General features: G+C 42.1%; 2 long non-coding RNA genes across 2 annotated transcripts in view; both read right to left on the bottom strand.

The window, feature by feature from the left end:
* The window catches only part of DELEC1 (deleted in esophageal cancer 1), a 260,827-nt gene that overhangs the window by 229,095 nt on the left and 14,263 nt on the right, over positions 1-17,469 (bottom strand). The window lies entirely within an intron of this gene.
* On the bottom strand, positions 3,816-16,156 carry LOC124902257 (uncharacterized). The gene is made up of 2 exons (XR_007061748.1): positions 15,835-16,156; positions 3,816-4,042 (listed from the first exon to the last, which is right to left on the bottom strand). It is a non-coding gene; the product is annotated as an uncharacterized LOC124902257 (long non-coding RNA).

Here is a 17,469-nt window from a genome sequence, read left to right as displayed (position 1 = left end):
TTACAACAATACTATATATTGCCTTTATTGATGCATCTATATGTAATTTAAAAGTTGCTAACAGTAGGCAATACAGTTATTTACTATATTATTAGGTACTTTTCCGTATGCTTGTATTCTTTTATAAGATAAATGTCTTTCTTTTTAAATGAAGTGAATTAGAGGAGGCAAGGCTCTAGGCAGGGAGAACAACTAGGTCATCTAATGTTTTGGGTGACACACATTGGCAGTTTGGAATATGACAGATGGATGCTGGGTGGCAACAGTGTAGAAGAGATGTCACATCTTAGAGACAGTACAAACCAAGATCAAAGGCAGAAAATTCCATCCCCAAACTCTGGGTCTGAGGTCATACCTGTAACAGTCATTATTGTATAAGGTAAGTTGGAAATATTTCTGTTCCTTCCTCCACAAACAGAAGGGAAATAAAAGCTCAAGGAACACTTCTAATCAATTTTAAAACATATCCTGGGTCCCGACTATAGTGAGAGTTTTGTATGAATTTGTTCAAAGAGGAGATTTGCTCTCTATCTAAAAGCAGGCAGACAGTAACTTCCAGGTGGATAAAATCAATGTTGTGCTTTTGAGAGGAGGCAATAATTACAAAGGATCTATGGACCAGGGGTGCTGAGCAGCTTATTTGGAAGGACTCATGTAGACATATAAGGTATGCAATTCAGAAAGGCAGAGTCTTAGACTCCCAAAATCTTGGGTGTCCAAGAGGCCATTTGATCTGCTGCTCAGCCTTCAAGCAGATCAATGACTAAACCATTCATTTCGGCCATTACTTGTTTCCTTTAACAGTTCCACAAAAGTAGTCCATCATGAAATAGATGTGTATTCAAATTCTGGTTTTATGTTTGTGTGCTATATGTCTCCCAGAAACTTTCTTAAACTTGTTGAGCCTCAGTTTCTTCCCCTCTAGAAGAAGAAAACGGTAGTACATTCTTTACAGTTTGTTATGAGGTATAAATTAAATTCAATGTAAAACCATCTAACACATTGCAATTGCTCAATTGCTCAATATGGTTAGTGGCCATAATTATCACTGCCTGTGTTCCAGGTAGAAAAAAAAAAGAAAGGACCTAAATGCAAAACATATCTGATCTATCTTCTCCTATCTTTAGCGGCTCTCTGTCCAGTACATTCTCGCTGCCCTAAGCATTGAAGTTTGGCTTGCATCTGGAGGAGCCAAGAACTGAGCTAAGTCCACTGCTATCTGATTCTGCTCGTGAGGTCACTCCAGGCAGTTGGGGACACAGAGCTCACCTCTGCTGACCCTTTCCTGATATTTCACATAGCAGAAGCCTATCCAGAATTCTTTTTTGTAGGCCCAGTGCCATAAATCTTGGACATATCTTTTAACACCATATGTCTAAGTCCTTAATAGATTCTTTGAAGTTTATAGCAGTTTTCTGGGTTCATCCTTTTAGTTTTTTAAATTTAATGTTTGAGATGCATTTGGGTGGCCAACCGTAAACTTCCTCTATGCATTAATTATTTGCGGATGTTGAGGCTGTGAGTTGGGGGATGGAGGGTGCTGGAAAAATCCATGCCCTTTGTTCTTCATGAGGACATACTTTAATGTACATATTTACAACTGTGTGAGCTCAATAAAAAAGCTTAACTTGGCCTGAAATATCAAATTATGTTTTCTCACATCTTAGAAAGAAAATGGAATTAAATCTGAAGCAGGCTAGAAATTTTAAGATTCACACAAGACGAGGATAACATCTAAAGGGAGCAAACATTTTCCATATGCCAGGCATTCTCCTAGAAATATTACATGTGTTGTTTTATTAATCCTTATCCCCCTTCACCATGAAGTTGCTCTTATTGTTATCCTTATTTTAAAGTTGAAAAATCCTGAAGATCAGAGAGTTGAATTGAGTTGCCTAAGGTCACACAGCTGATGGCCTATTATAAAGACTCTGAGTTTAAAGCTGAAGTCTCTTTCTCTACGGGAGATTGAGGAAGAATGAATAGCAGGGCATGAGACAAGTACTTTCATTGGACTGAACAGTGGTCAGTGCTGGTCTAACTAGCAGTCATCAAAACCCTCGGGGGAGAACATCATCTTTATCATTATCCCCATTGGATAGATGAAGAATATAAGACACAGGGGCTAAGCGGCTTGCCCAAGATAAACCAGTCAAAAAAGGCAGAACTGGAATTTTAATGCAGATTCTACACTCTTAACCACTCTGCCATATTGCCGGTTGAGAGGGAGTGAAGCACATGGCAAAGTTATCTCCAAATGAATGTTATCTAAAGTCTTTCTGATATTGTTCATGCCATTAAGAATGGTACCGTTTGGCTATGCAGGGATCCTTTAAATTGTAAGCACAAAGAAGGACCAAGACTTTTAGTCCAAATGAGACCAGAGACTCAGACACTGGAGCAGCTTGCTCAAGAGCATAGGACTAGTCAGAGGCAATGACAATATCGGCCTCCAGGTCCCCTGGCCTCCAGCCTGGGACTTTTTCCAGTGTCCCCCTCACTCTTCTGTCAACTCAGTCAGATGTTGGAGGCTCTGTAGTCATGGGAAAGAGGATAAAGACAGAATTGCTGCTCTCAGCAGAAACACTGTAATGGAAACCATTTCACAGGCTGTGGCAGAAAGAGCCTTCCCTCCTCATCACATGTTAGCTTCGGGAAGAGTTTATGACTCATTCAGGACATTTGGGTGTGTCAGTTCCGCAAAACTAGGGTATCCTGGGCAGAGTCTCAGAAGAAAGACAGGAGTCAGGAATCTCATCTACTCCAGGCAGAGGGAAGGTGGCTGTCTATTAAGAAATACTGAAAGGCCTCTCAACTGTACTTCTGTAGCCACCAGGGGAGCAGGGACTTGAAATTTCTGAGTATTTCTCATCCAGTCATTTCAATCATGACAATATAGTAGTTCTGGAGATGAAATATTTAAAGTTGTAAAGAAAGAGTGAGTTTTTAAGCCAGATCAATTTGCATGCAACCCTGTTTCCTCATTCATAGAATGCACATAAATACCTACTTCGCAGAATCACAGTGGGGGTTGATTGAAATAAAGCCTGAAAAATTTCTAGCAGACAAAAGGCACTCAATGGGTACAAAGTAAAGGTTGAATTGATCTCCTCTTGATAAGATGAAACCAAAGCCAATGAAAACTATTTGGAGAATATAGCAGGCTGAATAATGCTCCCCGGGAGACGTTACCTTATATGTTAAAAAAAAAAAAAAAAAAAAAAAAAAAAAAAAACCTTTGCAGATGTGATTAAGTTAAGGATATTGAGATGAAGATATTGAGATAAATGGCTTTTATGAAATGGAGTCAAGAGGATCAGAGTTAGGAGAAAGGCTGAAAGATACTGTACTGTCGTCTTTGATAATGAGGAAAAGGCCATGAGCCAAGGACAGCAGGCAGTCACAGAATCTAGAAAACGTAAAACAAACAAACAAACAAACAAGCAAAAAAACTCTCCTCTAGAGCCTCCAAAAGGAACATAGCTTGCTGACACCTTAATTTTAGCCCGTGAGGCTGACTTAGGACTTCTGACTGCCAGAATTGTAAGATAATAAATGTGTGTGTGAGTTTGTGTGTATGTGTGTGTGTGTTTGAGGTCACTAAGTTTGTGCTAATTTGTTAAATCAGCAATAGGAAACTAATACAGAGTGATATATCACAAGCAAAACATTCACCCCAATATAAAGAACATCCCTATAAGTAGGTGGACTCAATAGCTCAGAGACCAGCAGCCTGTGAATATAGATGAGGTCACAAGTTCATCAGTGTGTAAATAACGGTAGTTCTTAACAACCCCCACCAACACCACCATCAATTTCCAATAACCCAGTCTTTATTTTTTAATGTTTCCCCGTCCCTTCAAGCATTCTCAGGAACAAGTTCACTCAGTCTTTCTTTGAAATCCTTCCATGAGCAGAATTTTAGGAGGAATCTTCGCAAAGCCACAGACACTGTAACCTTGGTGAGATCCCGGGTCTCTCTCTGGCACTCCTCCAGCTACCATCCTGCTCCACACATCTTTGTCCAATGCTGTCACTCAGTCTAGAACCACCAGAAATAAAAATCTTTTGAGTAAATTGTCATATTTGTTGCCAATCTCCAAAGAGCGCTGCTGCTTCCCAAAATCTTACAGTTTTTTCATAAACATGATTCCTTAAGCTTTAGATAGCACCCTCACAGTCTCTCATCGGGCCAGGCTGAGTGGAAATTAATCACGTTATTCCCTCTCAATTTTACCTCTTCCTTCTCTACCCTCTGTCCCACATGTCAGTATGTCCCCCTCTTCCTCCAGTTAAAAGCTAAAGCACCGTCTTTGTATAACAACTTATGCAACTGGACACTTGATAGAAAACAGTACCATTAACTCCACTTGCCAGACACATATGAACCCCAGCTCTAGCTTGTGCAAAACACTCTCCCTACCCAACCTACCTACCAAGTTGTACACATCCCTGGATTTGGAGAGTCTATTCCTGGATCCCTCAGGGTGGGGTGGGGTGGGTGGCAATGTAGAAAGCATGCTCTCTAGAAGCAGCTCATGCCCAACAGGAAAAGAAGAGACAGATCCTCACTAAGGATGTTCGCTAAAGATATCCCCCATGTCCATTTCTCATTGTTCTCTAGTATCTGACTATAAAGGGACCAGGTTGGCTCAGGATGAACATAGTGTCTTTTCTATAAGATGATCCTAGAGCAGGAAGCAGCATGTTAGAGACTATTTTCAGAGTATCACTCTTTCTCTGACAGCTAGAGAGTTCCTTTAAGTGAAACAATCCTGGCAGCAGCAACACTGAAGTGTCTCTTCCTGCCCATGAGAATGAACACATCAGTAACAGGACCTGACCTGATATTTCTGCAAAGTCTGTTATGGAGATATGAGAGAGAGATCAAAAAATTGAACTCTCTTTCTTTTCCAAGCTTGAAACCAATTGAAAATTAAGGCAGAGGAGTAAAGGCAATGGCGGGAATCAAAACCACCGTTGTTACTTGTAGATCTCAAATTGGAGGATATGGCTCTGCGGATGAATAAATGGAGCTCCAGGATTAGACAGACCTACCTACCAAGTTGTAGACAACCATATATCCAGAGAGTCTATCCCTCAATCCCTGAGAGGGCAAGGTAGAAAGCATGCCCGCTAGAGGCAGCTTATGCTCAATAGCAAGAGGAGAGACAGATGCAACGCCCTGCACATCCAGCTCCTGGAATCACCAAGTAGATGGCCCCCTCCTTCTTCCCTGGTCAGAACGAGTGTGGGTATGCAGACAGACAAAGAGCATTATGTGAGTGGAATTCCACATGAAGCTCTGCCCCCACTGTAGAAGATTGTGTCCTTGTCAAAATACTCACTGCCTCTTTCTCCTGTGCTCATCCCTTTGAGAGTGTTATCCTTCCTGTGGCCACAAGACTTGCTTTGGTCAACAAGATGTCAGTTGAAATGACATGAGCCATTTCTTCACAGATGCTCTGAGAGCCATTGTGTGTCTCTGCCATCTTTCCTTTCCTTCTGCCACTGAATGGCATGCCCCAGATTAGGGATTCTCCATCAGGCTTGGTTGTAGGATGAAGAGGGAATACAGGCGCAGTGGCTCACACCTGTAATCCCAATACTTTGGGAGGCTGAGGCGAGAGGATCACTTGAGCCCAGGAGTTCTAGACCAGCCTAAGCAACATAGTGAGAGACCCTGTCTCCACAAAACAATCTTAAAATGTAGCCAGGCATGGTGGTACAGGCCTGTGGTCCCAACTACTTGGGAGGCTGAGGTGGATTGTTTGAGTATGGGAGCTCAAGGCTGCAGTGAGCTGTGATCATGTCACTATGCTCCAGGCTATAAAAAAGAACAAACCCTGTCTCCAAAAAAAAAAAAAAAAAAAGGCAGTGGAGTAGAATTTTGGCCAACTCACAGTGGACATGAATATGAATGAGAAATACATATTTGTTGCTTTGTGCCAGTAAGAGGTTGTTATTACAGCCCACCTTGTCTCACACTTACATATACAGGGAATCTCCTCCCCAGCAACTTTCCTTCCTCTCTAGTCTCTATCCTTCAATCAATCCATCCATTCACTGTTGACACCAGTCCCTGTTAGAACTGCAATAATGAATAAGATATGCCTCGTGGGGGATCCAGTCATGTCAAGAAATAACTCAAATGGAAAGTAGTCAGTGCTATGTTAGAAGAATGTACAAAATTCCTGGAGAACCCAGAGGAGGATGATGATTCAGAACAGCTGAGGGGATCGGGAAGGGCCCCAGGCAATCTCTGCAGGAACCCTTCATTCCAGGGAGTTCCTACGAAGTGTGACTGAAACTCTAGCCATATTTTGTTTTTGTCCTTATTCCCTGGAACACAGACCCAGCAGAAAAGGCAACCAAGATGTTGGGGGAATTGCCCCACACATACAGGATATATGTCAGATTCTAAGAAATGCCATAGGGATTCCAAGGAATAAGGGAGACTTTTCATCCTGAGCTGGCACAGGAGGTCTTTGAGGAGATAGGATTTCAGCCAAGCAGTAAAAGGTAGATTGGATTATTTCAGGGGTGTGGGGTAAATCTTGGGGCAGGCCATTTTATTTATTTATTTATATTTGAGATGGAGTCTCCCTCTGTTGCCCGGGCTGGAGTGCAGTGGCATAATCTCGGCTCACGGCAACCTCCACCTCCCAGGTCCAAGTGATTCTCCTGCCTCAGCCTCCTGAGTAGCTGGAACTATAGGCGCGAGCCACCACACCGAGCTAATTTTTGTGTTTTTAGTAGAGACAGGGTTTCGCCATATTGGCCAGGCTGGTCTCGAACTCCTGACCTCAGGTGATCCACCTGCCTCAGCCTCCCAAAGTGATTGGATTACAGACATGAGCCACCACGCCTATGGTGGCAGGCCATCTTAGTAGAAGGAAGAGAATGTACAAAGAACCAAAGGCAGGAGAATAAGCTCTATTCCAGAGATGGTGTAGAGCAGGAATGCAGGAGCAGTGTGTGAGTGGAGTGGAGGAAAATGAGACCCAAAATGTGGCCTGAGAGCCAGATCCTAAATGCAAGACTAAGGGCAGTGCCCTTTAGGTGAGAAGAGCCACTGAAGTCTCTGAAAACTGAAATGGCATGATAGAAAAGACATTTCGGGGTAACAGGAAGATGACCCTGGTATGATGGAGAGTGGAACTGGAGGGCAAACTGGAGAGGGGCTACTAAAAGGGTTACTAATGGGGAGGCTGTTTAATGTTCCAGGCGAGGTAGGAGGGATCCTAACCAAGGAAGGGTCCAAAGGAGAAGAGGAAACAAAAGTAAGTGAGTCATAAAGAAGGGATCCACAATTAATGGGGTAGGGGTTCTGAAAACAGCTTGGACAGTCATGGAAGAGGACCCTGAGGAGGTGTTAGAGTAGAGCCCTGAATAATGAACAAAATTTAGATAAACAGAAGGGAGTAGGGAGGGCAACATAAGGAAGTACAGCTTTTCAAGGTGAGAAGTCTAACTTGATTAAGTAAAAGTTTTCTGTAGCGGTACTACTGAAGATAAAGGCAGCAAGTTGAAAACTACATGTGTATGTACTATGCTCTTTCTTTTAGTCCTCTTAAGAATGCTATGAGTTCTTCTCTATTAACCCATTTTACAGATGAGGAAATGGAGACTTAGAAAAGATTGTATGCAAATGACCTACATAATTTGTGTGGCCTGGTGCAAAAAGAGCCTTCTTGTTAAAAAATTATTAAGACTTTCAAGGCAGTGACAGCAGAGTAGTAAGCCAAGCCACAAGGCCCTTCTGAGCACCAGGCCCTATACAACTGCCTAAGTCACATGCACATAAAGTCAGCCCTGGTTCTATGACTTGCCCAGCTCCATACAGCAAAAAAAAAAAAAAGAGTCAGAGCTAGAAGTAAAATTGCTCTTGCAGCAGATGAGGAGAAAGTAGGGTTGATGTGAAGGCTCCTGCAGCCTGGATCTCTGCATCATATGGAGTCAAGCCTCCATTATAGCATGAGTGTGAAATAAACTTTTGTTGTTTTAAGCCACTGAAATGTTGGGAGTGTGTATTACTGAAGCATCACCTCTCTCATGCTTACTCATATACTAAAGCACAGAAAAATCTCCTACAGCTGGGGAGGTAGGTCATGAGCCTCAACAGCCAAGACCTGTGTTCTTTCCTCAATATCTATGTCTTCCAATTGCAGGTCACAACCTGTTAGAGAGTCATGAAAACAATCTACTGGGTCACAGGCACATTTTTACACAGGAAATAATTTAATAAGTAAAATATCATAGAAACTGTGTGTGTTACTTATTGCAGTGGTATTTTTTATTAAACTTTTTCCACTACATGTGTGTGTTGAGAGTCACAATAAAAAAAAAAGGTACTTCTGACTATGGGTTATTGTCAAAAATGTTAAAAGCCACTGCTCAACATCATGCTTTTGACACAGGAAAGGAAAAAAAGTCTACACACATCACCCTGACAGCTTGGATACTCATAATACCTTTTGAAAACAGCTAAATGGGAGGACACTTGGGTCCTTATTGTCAATGTAATTAATGCTTTGGATTTTACAGTTTGCCAGATAGAAAGCATTCCAGATCTTAACCAATATGAAACTCAATCTTTGTAATATGCTCCTTTAACTCCATTAATCCTCTATCTCCTCTGCTCCAACTCTTACTCTGCCATAAAAGAATCATGAAGTCATCATTTCGGATACAGGGAACAAACCCTCATTGTCTCATGACAAATTCCGGGCACAGATGTGCCCACTGGAGCAACTACAAAAAAGCAGGCAAGAAGCCACTTTGTCACCAGCACTGGGCCTGGTGCCAGGCCTCTCCCTCTCTTTGAATCCTTGATGGGCTAAGCCCCTCAGAAGTGAGTCATCAAGGATTGCCAGTATCTGCCCAGGGAGGGAGACCCATTTACTTTGAAAAACTCTGCAGGAAATACTTGTGCTTTGCTCTGCCAGAAGCTGTCAAATTTGCTTCTCTCACCACAGCAACTGTGGTTCTGAACCCCACCCCCCGAACCCAACTTATGACAAAAAGAGCATATGAAAGAACTGAAAATAGCCTTTTTTTCAGTTGCTTGGTGAAAATTCCCAGATGTGAGCTGCAATGACTGTGTGGCACTCATATTTCAGTTTTGAGTGTGGATATTTTCTCTGAATGTCTCCTGCAAATTGAATCAAGAAGAACACTATTAATTATTTTAGCCAAGGTTATATTTTTGCTCCAACCTTCTATATGTCCTGATTTTGGGGATGTGGAGGTTTGAGGGGCATTGTCCATGATTATTCTCTGTGCAGTAATTGCCTTCCCCTGAAACAAGATGGTTGCATCAAGCTTGTTGAGTTTTTAACTCTAGAATGTCTATTTTCTTTTCTTTTTTCTTTTTTTTTTTTTTTAGAGATGGAGTCTTGCTCTGCACCCAGGCTGGAATGCAGTGGTGCGATCTCGGCTCACTGCAAGCTCTGCCTCCTGGGTTCACCTGCCATTCTCCTGCCTCAGCCTCCCAAGTGGCTGGGACTACAGGCGCCCGCCACCACGCCCGGCTAATTTTGGTATTTTTAGTAGAGACGGGGTTTCACCGTGTTAGCCAGGATGATCTCGATCTCCTGACCTCGTGATCCACCCACCTCGGTCTCCCAAAGTGCTGGGATTACAGGCGTGAGCCACTGTGCCCGTCCTAGAATGTCTATTTTCTATCGTATTTCCAGATCACCCTAATCTCTGGCAAAGGTGCCTCTTCCATAACCTCCTTCTAGTTTCCAGACTTGCACTCTTGTTTTCACCCACTTTTCTTGCTATCATTTCCAATAGCCAGAGCAATAGTCTTAAATGCAAATCTGACAGCCACTTTCTCTCTTGAAATCCTTCAGTAGTTTTAATGTCTCTCTCCAGACCACATCTCACCAACATTAGCAAAGCTCTGCAGGGAAGGGGACTGGGCTCCTGCTACTCTCAGGGCTCATCCCAGACTATTCTCCTCCTTGGCCTCTGAAATTCACACTAACACACTGTCCTTAAAAGTTTCTGGAATACATCAGTCTTGTACTTGACTTGGGACCTTCACATCTGCTGTTCTTGCTGAACACTATTCTTCTTAATGCTCCAAATTTTTAAAACCTAGTTAGCTTTCAATCTCAGCTATAGTATCACTTTAACAAGAGCTATCTTCTAGCTAAACCAAATCCTTTCAAATTCTCTCCCATCATCTTACTCTTTTCCATTACTGACTGTATTAGTCTGTTCTCACAGTGCTATGAAGAAATACTGGAGACTGGGTAATTTATAAAGAAAAGAGGTTTAATTGACTCACAGTTCCACATGTCTGGGGAGGTCTCAGGAAACTTACAATTATGGTGGAAGGCACTGCTTCACAGGCCAGCAGGAAAGAAAATGAGTGCAAGCAGGGGAAATGCCAGACACTTATGAAACCATCAGATCTTGTGACACTCACTCATTATCACAAGAACAGCATAAGGGAAACTGCCCCAAGATCCAATTGCTTCCAGCTGGCCTTGCCCTTGACATGTGGGGATTATTTCAATTCAAGGTGGGATTTGGGTGGGGACGCAGAGCCAAAAGATATCACTGACCATATCATAATATATAGAAGAGTATAATTTTAACATCTTTCTCCCTCACTAGACTTGGCTTCACAGAAACAAGGACATTGTTTCTTCATTATGTATATTCATATCTTAGCATGGTGCCTGGTACATAGTAGCTAGTAAATAAGTATTTGTTGAATAAATGCTAAAGGCCTTTTAAATGACCTCTCTGAGATCTAAGTGCTTGCAAAATATTTCTTTGACTGGGGAACTGCTATTTTCCTAAGGACAAATAAATGAATCTTCTTCCCTTTTCTTCTTTGGCTTCTGGTAACCAGAGCCGCATATGTATCTCGGATATATTAATCATGTTAGATACATAGGGTTCGAATATTTGTATTTTCTCTTCCCTTGGTCTTGATCTTTTACTTTTAGTGCAGTTCCTCAGGGGGAGTTTTTGCCATCTTTTTCCATGGTAAATAACATATGATACCACTATTGAATAGCATTACAATCTTTTGTAACAAAACTCAAGATGGCAAGTCACATTTAATTCTTTGAGGAAAGAGGTGAGAGCAAATATTATCTCCAAGGTGTCTGAAGACCTCACATATTTGAGATGCGAAAAGGGAATTGGGCAGCTATCTGAAGACCTGGCTGCCTGTATTAATGCTACTGGACTTGGGCAAACCAAGTCTCAAGCCTCAGACTCTTCATTTACGAATGAGAGGAACTCTGTTGTGCTTAACACACAAGGCTGTTGACATATTGTATGATCGCTTTTAGGTTGAAAAGCAAAACACATGCACACATACCTATGCACACACACCCACTTAAGAATATATGATTATGGGCTGGGTGTGGTGGCTCATACCTGTAATCCCAGCTACTCAGTGCTAAAGCACAAGAATCGCTTGAACCCAGGAGGCAAAGGTTGCAGGGAGCCGACATCATGCCACTGCACTCCAACCTGGGTGACAGAGAGGCTGTCTCAAAAAATATATATATATATATATATAGTTATGATCTCAAGGGGGAACATCTTTGATGAGATCACATTTGATTCTCCCTTTCATGACTAGCTCATGGGCAAAAAAACGTACGTAAAATTTCCCTTTGTTTTACTCATTTTCTCCAGCCTTTCCTCTTGGGTCTTATTCATAAAGCTGCTCAATCATATCAGTCTCAGAGACCCTCACTGGGGAATATCCAAAGACTACCCAGATATTTTCTTTCTACTTCCTATGTTCTCCATCAGAAACTGCCAGTCCTATAAACAGTTTCTCCAAAGTTTCCAGACTTCTAAGTCCTCTAAGGGCTTGTAGCTGATACATTTATCTGGCAAACTAATTAAAGCTAAAAATAACCGACAATGTAGAGAGAAAGATAATTGAGCAATTAATCATAGCATGATGAGGGCTATGGTGGGGGAGGCCCAAAGAAAGGTACAAAGGTTTCCTAGAGGGCTTATGCTGAGCCTGAACACTGGAGGATGGTTATGAGCTTTGCCTTATATTTCTGCACACTAGTTCTGGAACCACACTGAAGTCTAAATTTCTGACAGCCCTGGAGAAATTGCAGGATAGTAAAGGTCTTCCAGGAGGCCACAGGAAGGTTTCTGAGTGTCTTAGTCCATTTGGGCTGCTATAACAAAAATACCATAAACTGGTGGCTTAAACAAAAAATACTTATTTCTTATAGTCTGGGGTCAGAGAAGTCTAAGATCAAAAACTCCAAGATCTAGAATTTCATGAAGGCCCTCTCTTCCTGGTTCACAGAGGATCATCTTCTCTCTGTGTCCTCACATGGCAGAAGTGAAAACAAGCTTTCTCATGACTCTTATAAGGACACTAATTCTATTCATAAGGGTTTCACCCTGATTACCTCATTTAATCCTAATTACCTTTCAAAGGCCCCACCTCCTAATACCATCACATTGGGAAGGAGGACTTCAACATGTTGATTGGAGGAAGGAAAACACAATTACTCAGTTTATAATACTGATGTAATATTGAGTCAAAGAGCTATCTGGCTGCAGAAGGAAACTTATCACATAGGAAGCATGACAAGGTGGGGTCAGTGCTCAAGGTGCATCCCAAGGCCCATGGCAGTAGGAGCAGGAGGAACTCACTGCATGGCACTATAGATAAAACTCAGGACTTGTTGAATGCATCATTCCTCTGGGATCCAGCACTTGTTACCCATCTGCCACGAGGCCAAGTGCAAAACATCTCCCCAGGGATCACCACTCTGGATAAAAGCAATCTAACCAGCAAGGTAGATGCTCATTCCTCGCTGCAAGCCTGTCAATAAGATTTTGGCATTTAGTATGTACCAGGCAGTGTGTTGCAGAGAAAGTAGCAAAGAAGAAAGATCCAGTGCCTGCTCTCAAGAAGCTCAAGGAGGCCAGGCATGGTGGTTCACATCTGTAATGCCACCACTTTGGAAGGCTGAGGTGGGTGGATCACTTGAGGTCAGGAATTTGAGACCAGCCTGGCCAACATGGTGAAACCTCATCTCTACTAAAAATACAAAAATTAGCTGGGCATGGTGGCAAATGCCTGTAATCCCAGATACTCAGGAGGCTGAGGCAGAAGAATCGCTTGAACCCGGGAGGTGGAGGTTGCAGTGAACCAAGATTGCACCATTGCACCCCAGCCTGGGCAACAGAGTCAGACTCCATCTCAAAAATAGTAAATAAATAAGCTCAAGGAATTACCCAAGGTAACAGTCAAGTAAACTGCTGCTGACAAAGCAGTGAATGGACAGAAGTGATTCAGAAGGCATCAACCTGGGAAAAAGGGAAGACCTCCTGGGGCATTTACAGAAGTCCTGTACCACCGAGGATTGGGTGACCATCCTTTTGTCCATGGTAGCTCTCATCTCCATGGCACTCGGCAAATACCAGGGGCTCTATAAATATTTGTTGACTCAGAATTAATTAGTTCCATTTGATTAGTCATTGATCTCTGATTAGCATTTGACAGGGAAAGCAAGGTGACATCTAGTCAGTATCTTTCAGTGGAAAGATCATCAATAGGTTTTGGTATCAAAAATTCTTGGTTTAAGTTCCAACTCTGCCACTCACACCCATGTGAATCTGGGCAAGTGACTTGAACCCTCCAGGTCTAATTTTTTTCACAGTCAACATTAGGATAATATCTCCTTGTGTCATTGTGAGAATTGAATATGAAAATGCACTCAGGTGATATTGAATATGGTAGGTTCTTAGTAAGTATTTGTTCCTAATAATAATGGTAGCAGAAGTGGGTTGATCCTTTAATGTGTGCCAGACAAAGGACATTATATGCATTATAACTTTTAGTCCTTACATCGGCTCCATAAAATGGACCAACTATCACTTCCATTTAGCAGGAGAGAAAACTGAGTCTCAGAGAGTTCAGGCAATGTGTACTATGCCATGCACTGGTCTGAAGTGGAGCTGCACTCTGAAGCCCTATTCTCTCCCATGTCTCTAATCATGATTTTGTTCTCCCACATATGGCCTCCATCTTTTCCCACAGAGACGTCAAGATACTGAAAAGTTTATGCAACTTACACAAGTTCACATGGTTGATCATTGACCATGATGCTGTGATGAAAAAATGCATTCTAGTAAAAGGGACTTCTTACCACGATTAGGCAACAGAGCCCAACACCTCCACTCTTTTTTATAACTGGAAATGATGTGTCATGAGAATACATGGAAAGTTTCAACAATGCCTGACACCGCTATTTCTCTGTTGCTGGTGACTTAGCTTTTCCATTAAGACCCACAAGGGAAGGAGAGCAACAAAATCCCAGCATGTCCCATCACCCAGCCCAGAATGCCCTCCCCCAAGAAGGTTCTGAGGTGTCAGGAAACACATTTAGACTCTGCAGCTGGCGTGAAAATAGTGCTGCATGGTCTGGTTCTTGTCCTCACCATATTCTGTCAAAGTACATAATTTGCAAGTCATGCCCATGGGGACATCTGGACTCTGTCATTGCCCCCAGGACCTATGCCAGTCTGGACCAGCTGTCGGAGTTAAAGAATCTCAGAATTAAAGTACAGTTTAGCTGACCAAATTGATAGAAATGAAAATGGATCATATAATATTACTGTTACCCAAACATATTGAAGCTTCCCTGTGTGACAATCCCTTGAAGAATGACTACGCATTCATTCTCTCATTTAGTAATCACAACACTCCCATAGGAAAGAAAATATGTAAGTTTTATATATAAAAACAATGAGCCAGGCCAGGCGCAGTGGCTCACGCCTATAATCCCAGCACTTTGGGCAGCTGAGGTGGGTGGATCATTTGAGGTCAGGAGTTCAAGACCAGCCTGGCCAACATGGTGAAACCCCGTCTCCACTAAAAATACAAAAATTAGCTGGGTGTGGTGGAACATGCCTGTAATCCCAGTTTACTCAGGAGGCTGAGGCAGGAAAATCGCTTCAACCAGGGAGGCAGAGGTTGCAATGAGCTGAGATCACACCACTGCACTCCAGGCTGGGCGACAGAGCAAGACTCCGTCTCAAAAAAAAAAAATTAAAAAAAAATTAGCCGAGCGTGGTGGCGCATGCCTGTAATCCCAGCTACTTGGGAGGCTGAGGCAGGAGAATCACTTGAACCTGGGAGGCAGAGGTTGCAGTGAGCCGAAGTTGTGCCACTGCACACTCCAGCCTGGATGACAGAGTGAGGCTCTGTCTCAAAAAACAAACAGACAAACAAAAAACAATGAATGATTTGTCCAACAATTCACAGGGTAATATGAAAACTTTCCTTTAGTCAGTGTTCCAGCTCCCTACTTTCTCTGCAGATATTGTCCTTTTGCTGTTATTTATAGTCCCCCTCCTTGCTCTGGTATGGTCTTATCCTGGCTGAGTGGGTGTTGAATGAAAGAAATAGGAAGATATAATTTTGGAGAATCCACCCTTTGCCAAGGACTACATCAAGTAACCAGGTACTTATAATACTTCTCTCAAGTAGTTTCTCACAAGACTAAATATCACCATCTCCTTTTTACAGATGAGGACAAGGACACTCAGCGAAGTGCACAAAGGACACTTGCAAGTGAGAGAACCTTGGACTCCATGCCATGATCTTCCTACCACCCAGGAGAGCAAGTTAATAAGAACATTAAAATGGTCAAATAGGCCGAGCATGGTGGTTCATGCCTATAATCCCAGCACTTTTGGAGGCTGAGGCCGGAGGATTGCTTGAACCCAGTAATTCGAGACCAGCCTGGAAAACAAAGACAGACCCCGTCTCTACAAAATATATAAAAATTATCCTGCCATGCTGGACTGTACCTGTAGTCCCATACTCTGGAGGCTGAGGTAGCAGGATTGCTTGAGCACATGAGGTTGAAGCTGCAGCAGGCCAAAGTTGCACCACTGCACTCTAGCCTAGGTTGACAGAGTGACAGCCCATCTAAAAAAAAAAAAGAAAAAAAAAAAAGTTAAATAGTAAGCCAAATCAAGGGCCTGGGTGATTCACCAGTTGGATGATATATCCTACAAAAATGTGGCAGCCTGTTCCCACTCAGCTTCTCTCTGTCAGAGGGTGAAACAAAAAAGGAACTAGAATATGGTAAAAAGCAAAAGTTAGAAAAGGTGTTGATCCTCTCGAAGCTCCTAGACCATAGGGAGGGCTTAACTTGTTTGAACTAAACCTTTGATTCACTGGTTGACTCATTCCATCATTCATGTTTATTGCTTGCTTTGTACCAGGCACCATATTAGGCATGAAGATATGAGCACGTTAAGAATACTGTGCCTGGCCCAAAGTGGAAAATCACGTACTATTTATGGAAGAAAGGAAAGAATTCAAGAAAAGAGAATATGAGTGAGACTCAATCCCTGTCTTCAAAGAGCTCAAAGTCTAGTAACCACCTAAAAATGAAACAGACACTGCCTAATAGCAACTACAATTACTAGATGTCAGGTTTGATAATGAGCTAGGAAGGAAAAAGAAAAAAAAGGAATATCATGCAAGATTCCCCAGAGGAAGTGAAGGGACTTTCAAGTTGAAATCTGAGAGATATTTTGGAGTTGAACCTAAGTGGGAAGTCACAGGAACAAAGATGTTCTAGCCAAAACTATGCAAAGGTCCAAGGTGCTGGGACCTCATTAAGGATTCAGGTATTTCAGAGAGACTCCAATATTGATTTTGGGCTTCTCTGTGGGAATGCACATGACTGTATTAGTGGGGTAGGAAGAGATGTGTTGAGAGATATGCCTGGAGAAACTATCAGAGGCTAGGATTTAAAGATTCTCTAAAGAGAGTCTAAAAAAGTAGATGTCTCAGAAGAGCATAAAGCAATGGAAGGATTTTCAGCAGAAGTGAAATATCTTTATAGTTGTCTGCTATGCATAGAATGGATTGGAGCAGCTGAGACTGAGGGCAGAGAGGCAAGATAAGAGGATACTGCCATAATCCAGGTGAGAAACACTGCCAACCTAAGAAAAGGTAATTTCAACTTCAAAAGATTCACAGTCCAAAATGGACAATTGTAGATTATTACAAATATTCTGAAGACAGAGGCATAAGAATCAGATGCAAGAATTAATCAGGTACAGTCCGTGATTGTATACCCAACTTTAATTTTCTCCAATAGAATAACTACAACAATAAAAATTTCTTTTATTTACTTTACATAAATCTTATAAATGACAATGTGTTCCCACTTGTCTTAAAGCCAATGTCTACTTTACAGTAGATGTTCAGTAAGTAAAGGCTCTCACTGAATTCCCCCAGTAGTCCTTTAAGGTAAGCAGGAGAGCTATGATCAGCATCTCCATTCAACAGATGGGAAAAATGAGACTCAGAGAAGTTAATGAGTGCCTGATGGTCCAAGAAAGCTTCAGAGCCAGAAATAAAACTAAATTTCATGTTTTTTTTTTTTTTTTTTTTTTGAGAAGGAATCTCACCCTGTCCTCTAGGCT

Source organism: Homo sapiens, chromosome 9 (genome assembly GCF_000001405.40).
Source record: "Homo sapiens chromosome 9, GRCh38.p14 Primary Assembly".
In the NCBI taxonomy this organism is placed as follows: Eukaryota; Metazoa; Chordata; class Mammalia; order Primates; family Hominidae; genus Homo; species Homo sapiens.
The sequence above is the reverse complement of the archived record's forward strand: the minus strand, read 5'-3'. Positions and strand labels throughout refer to the sequence as shown.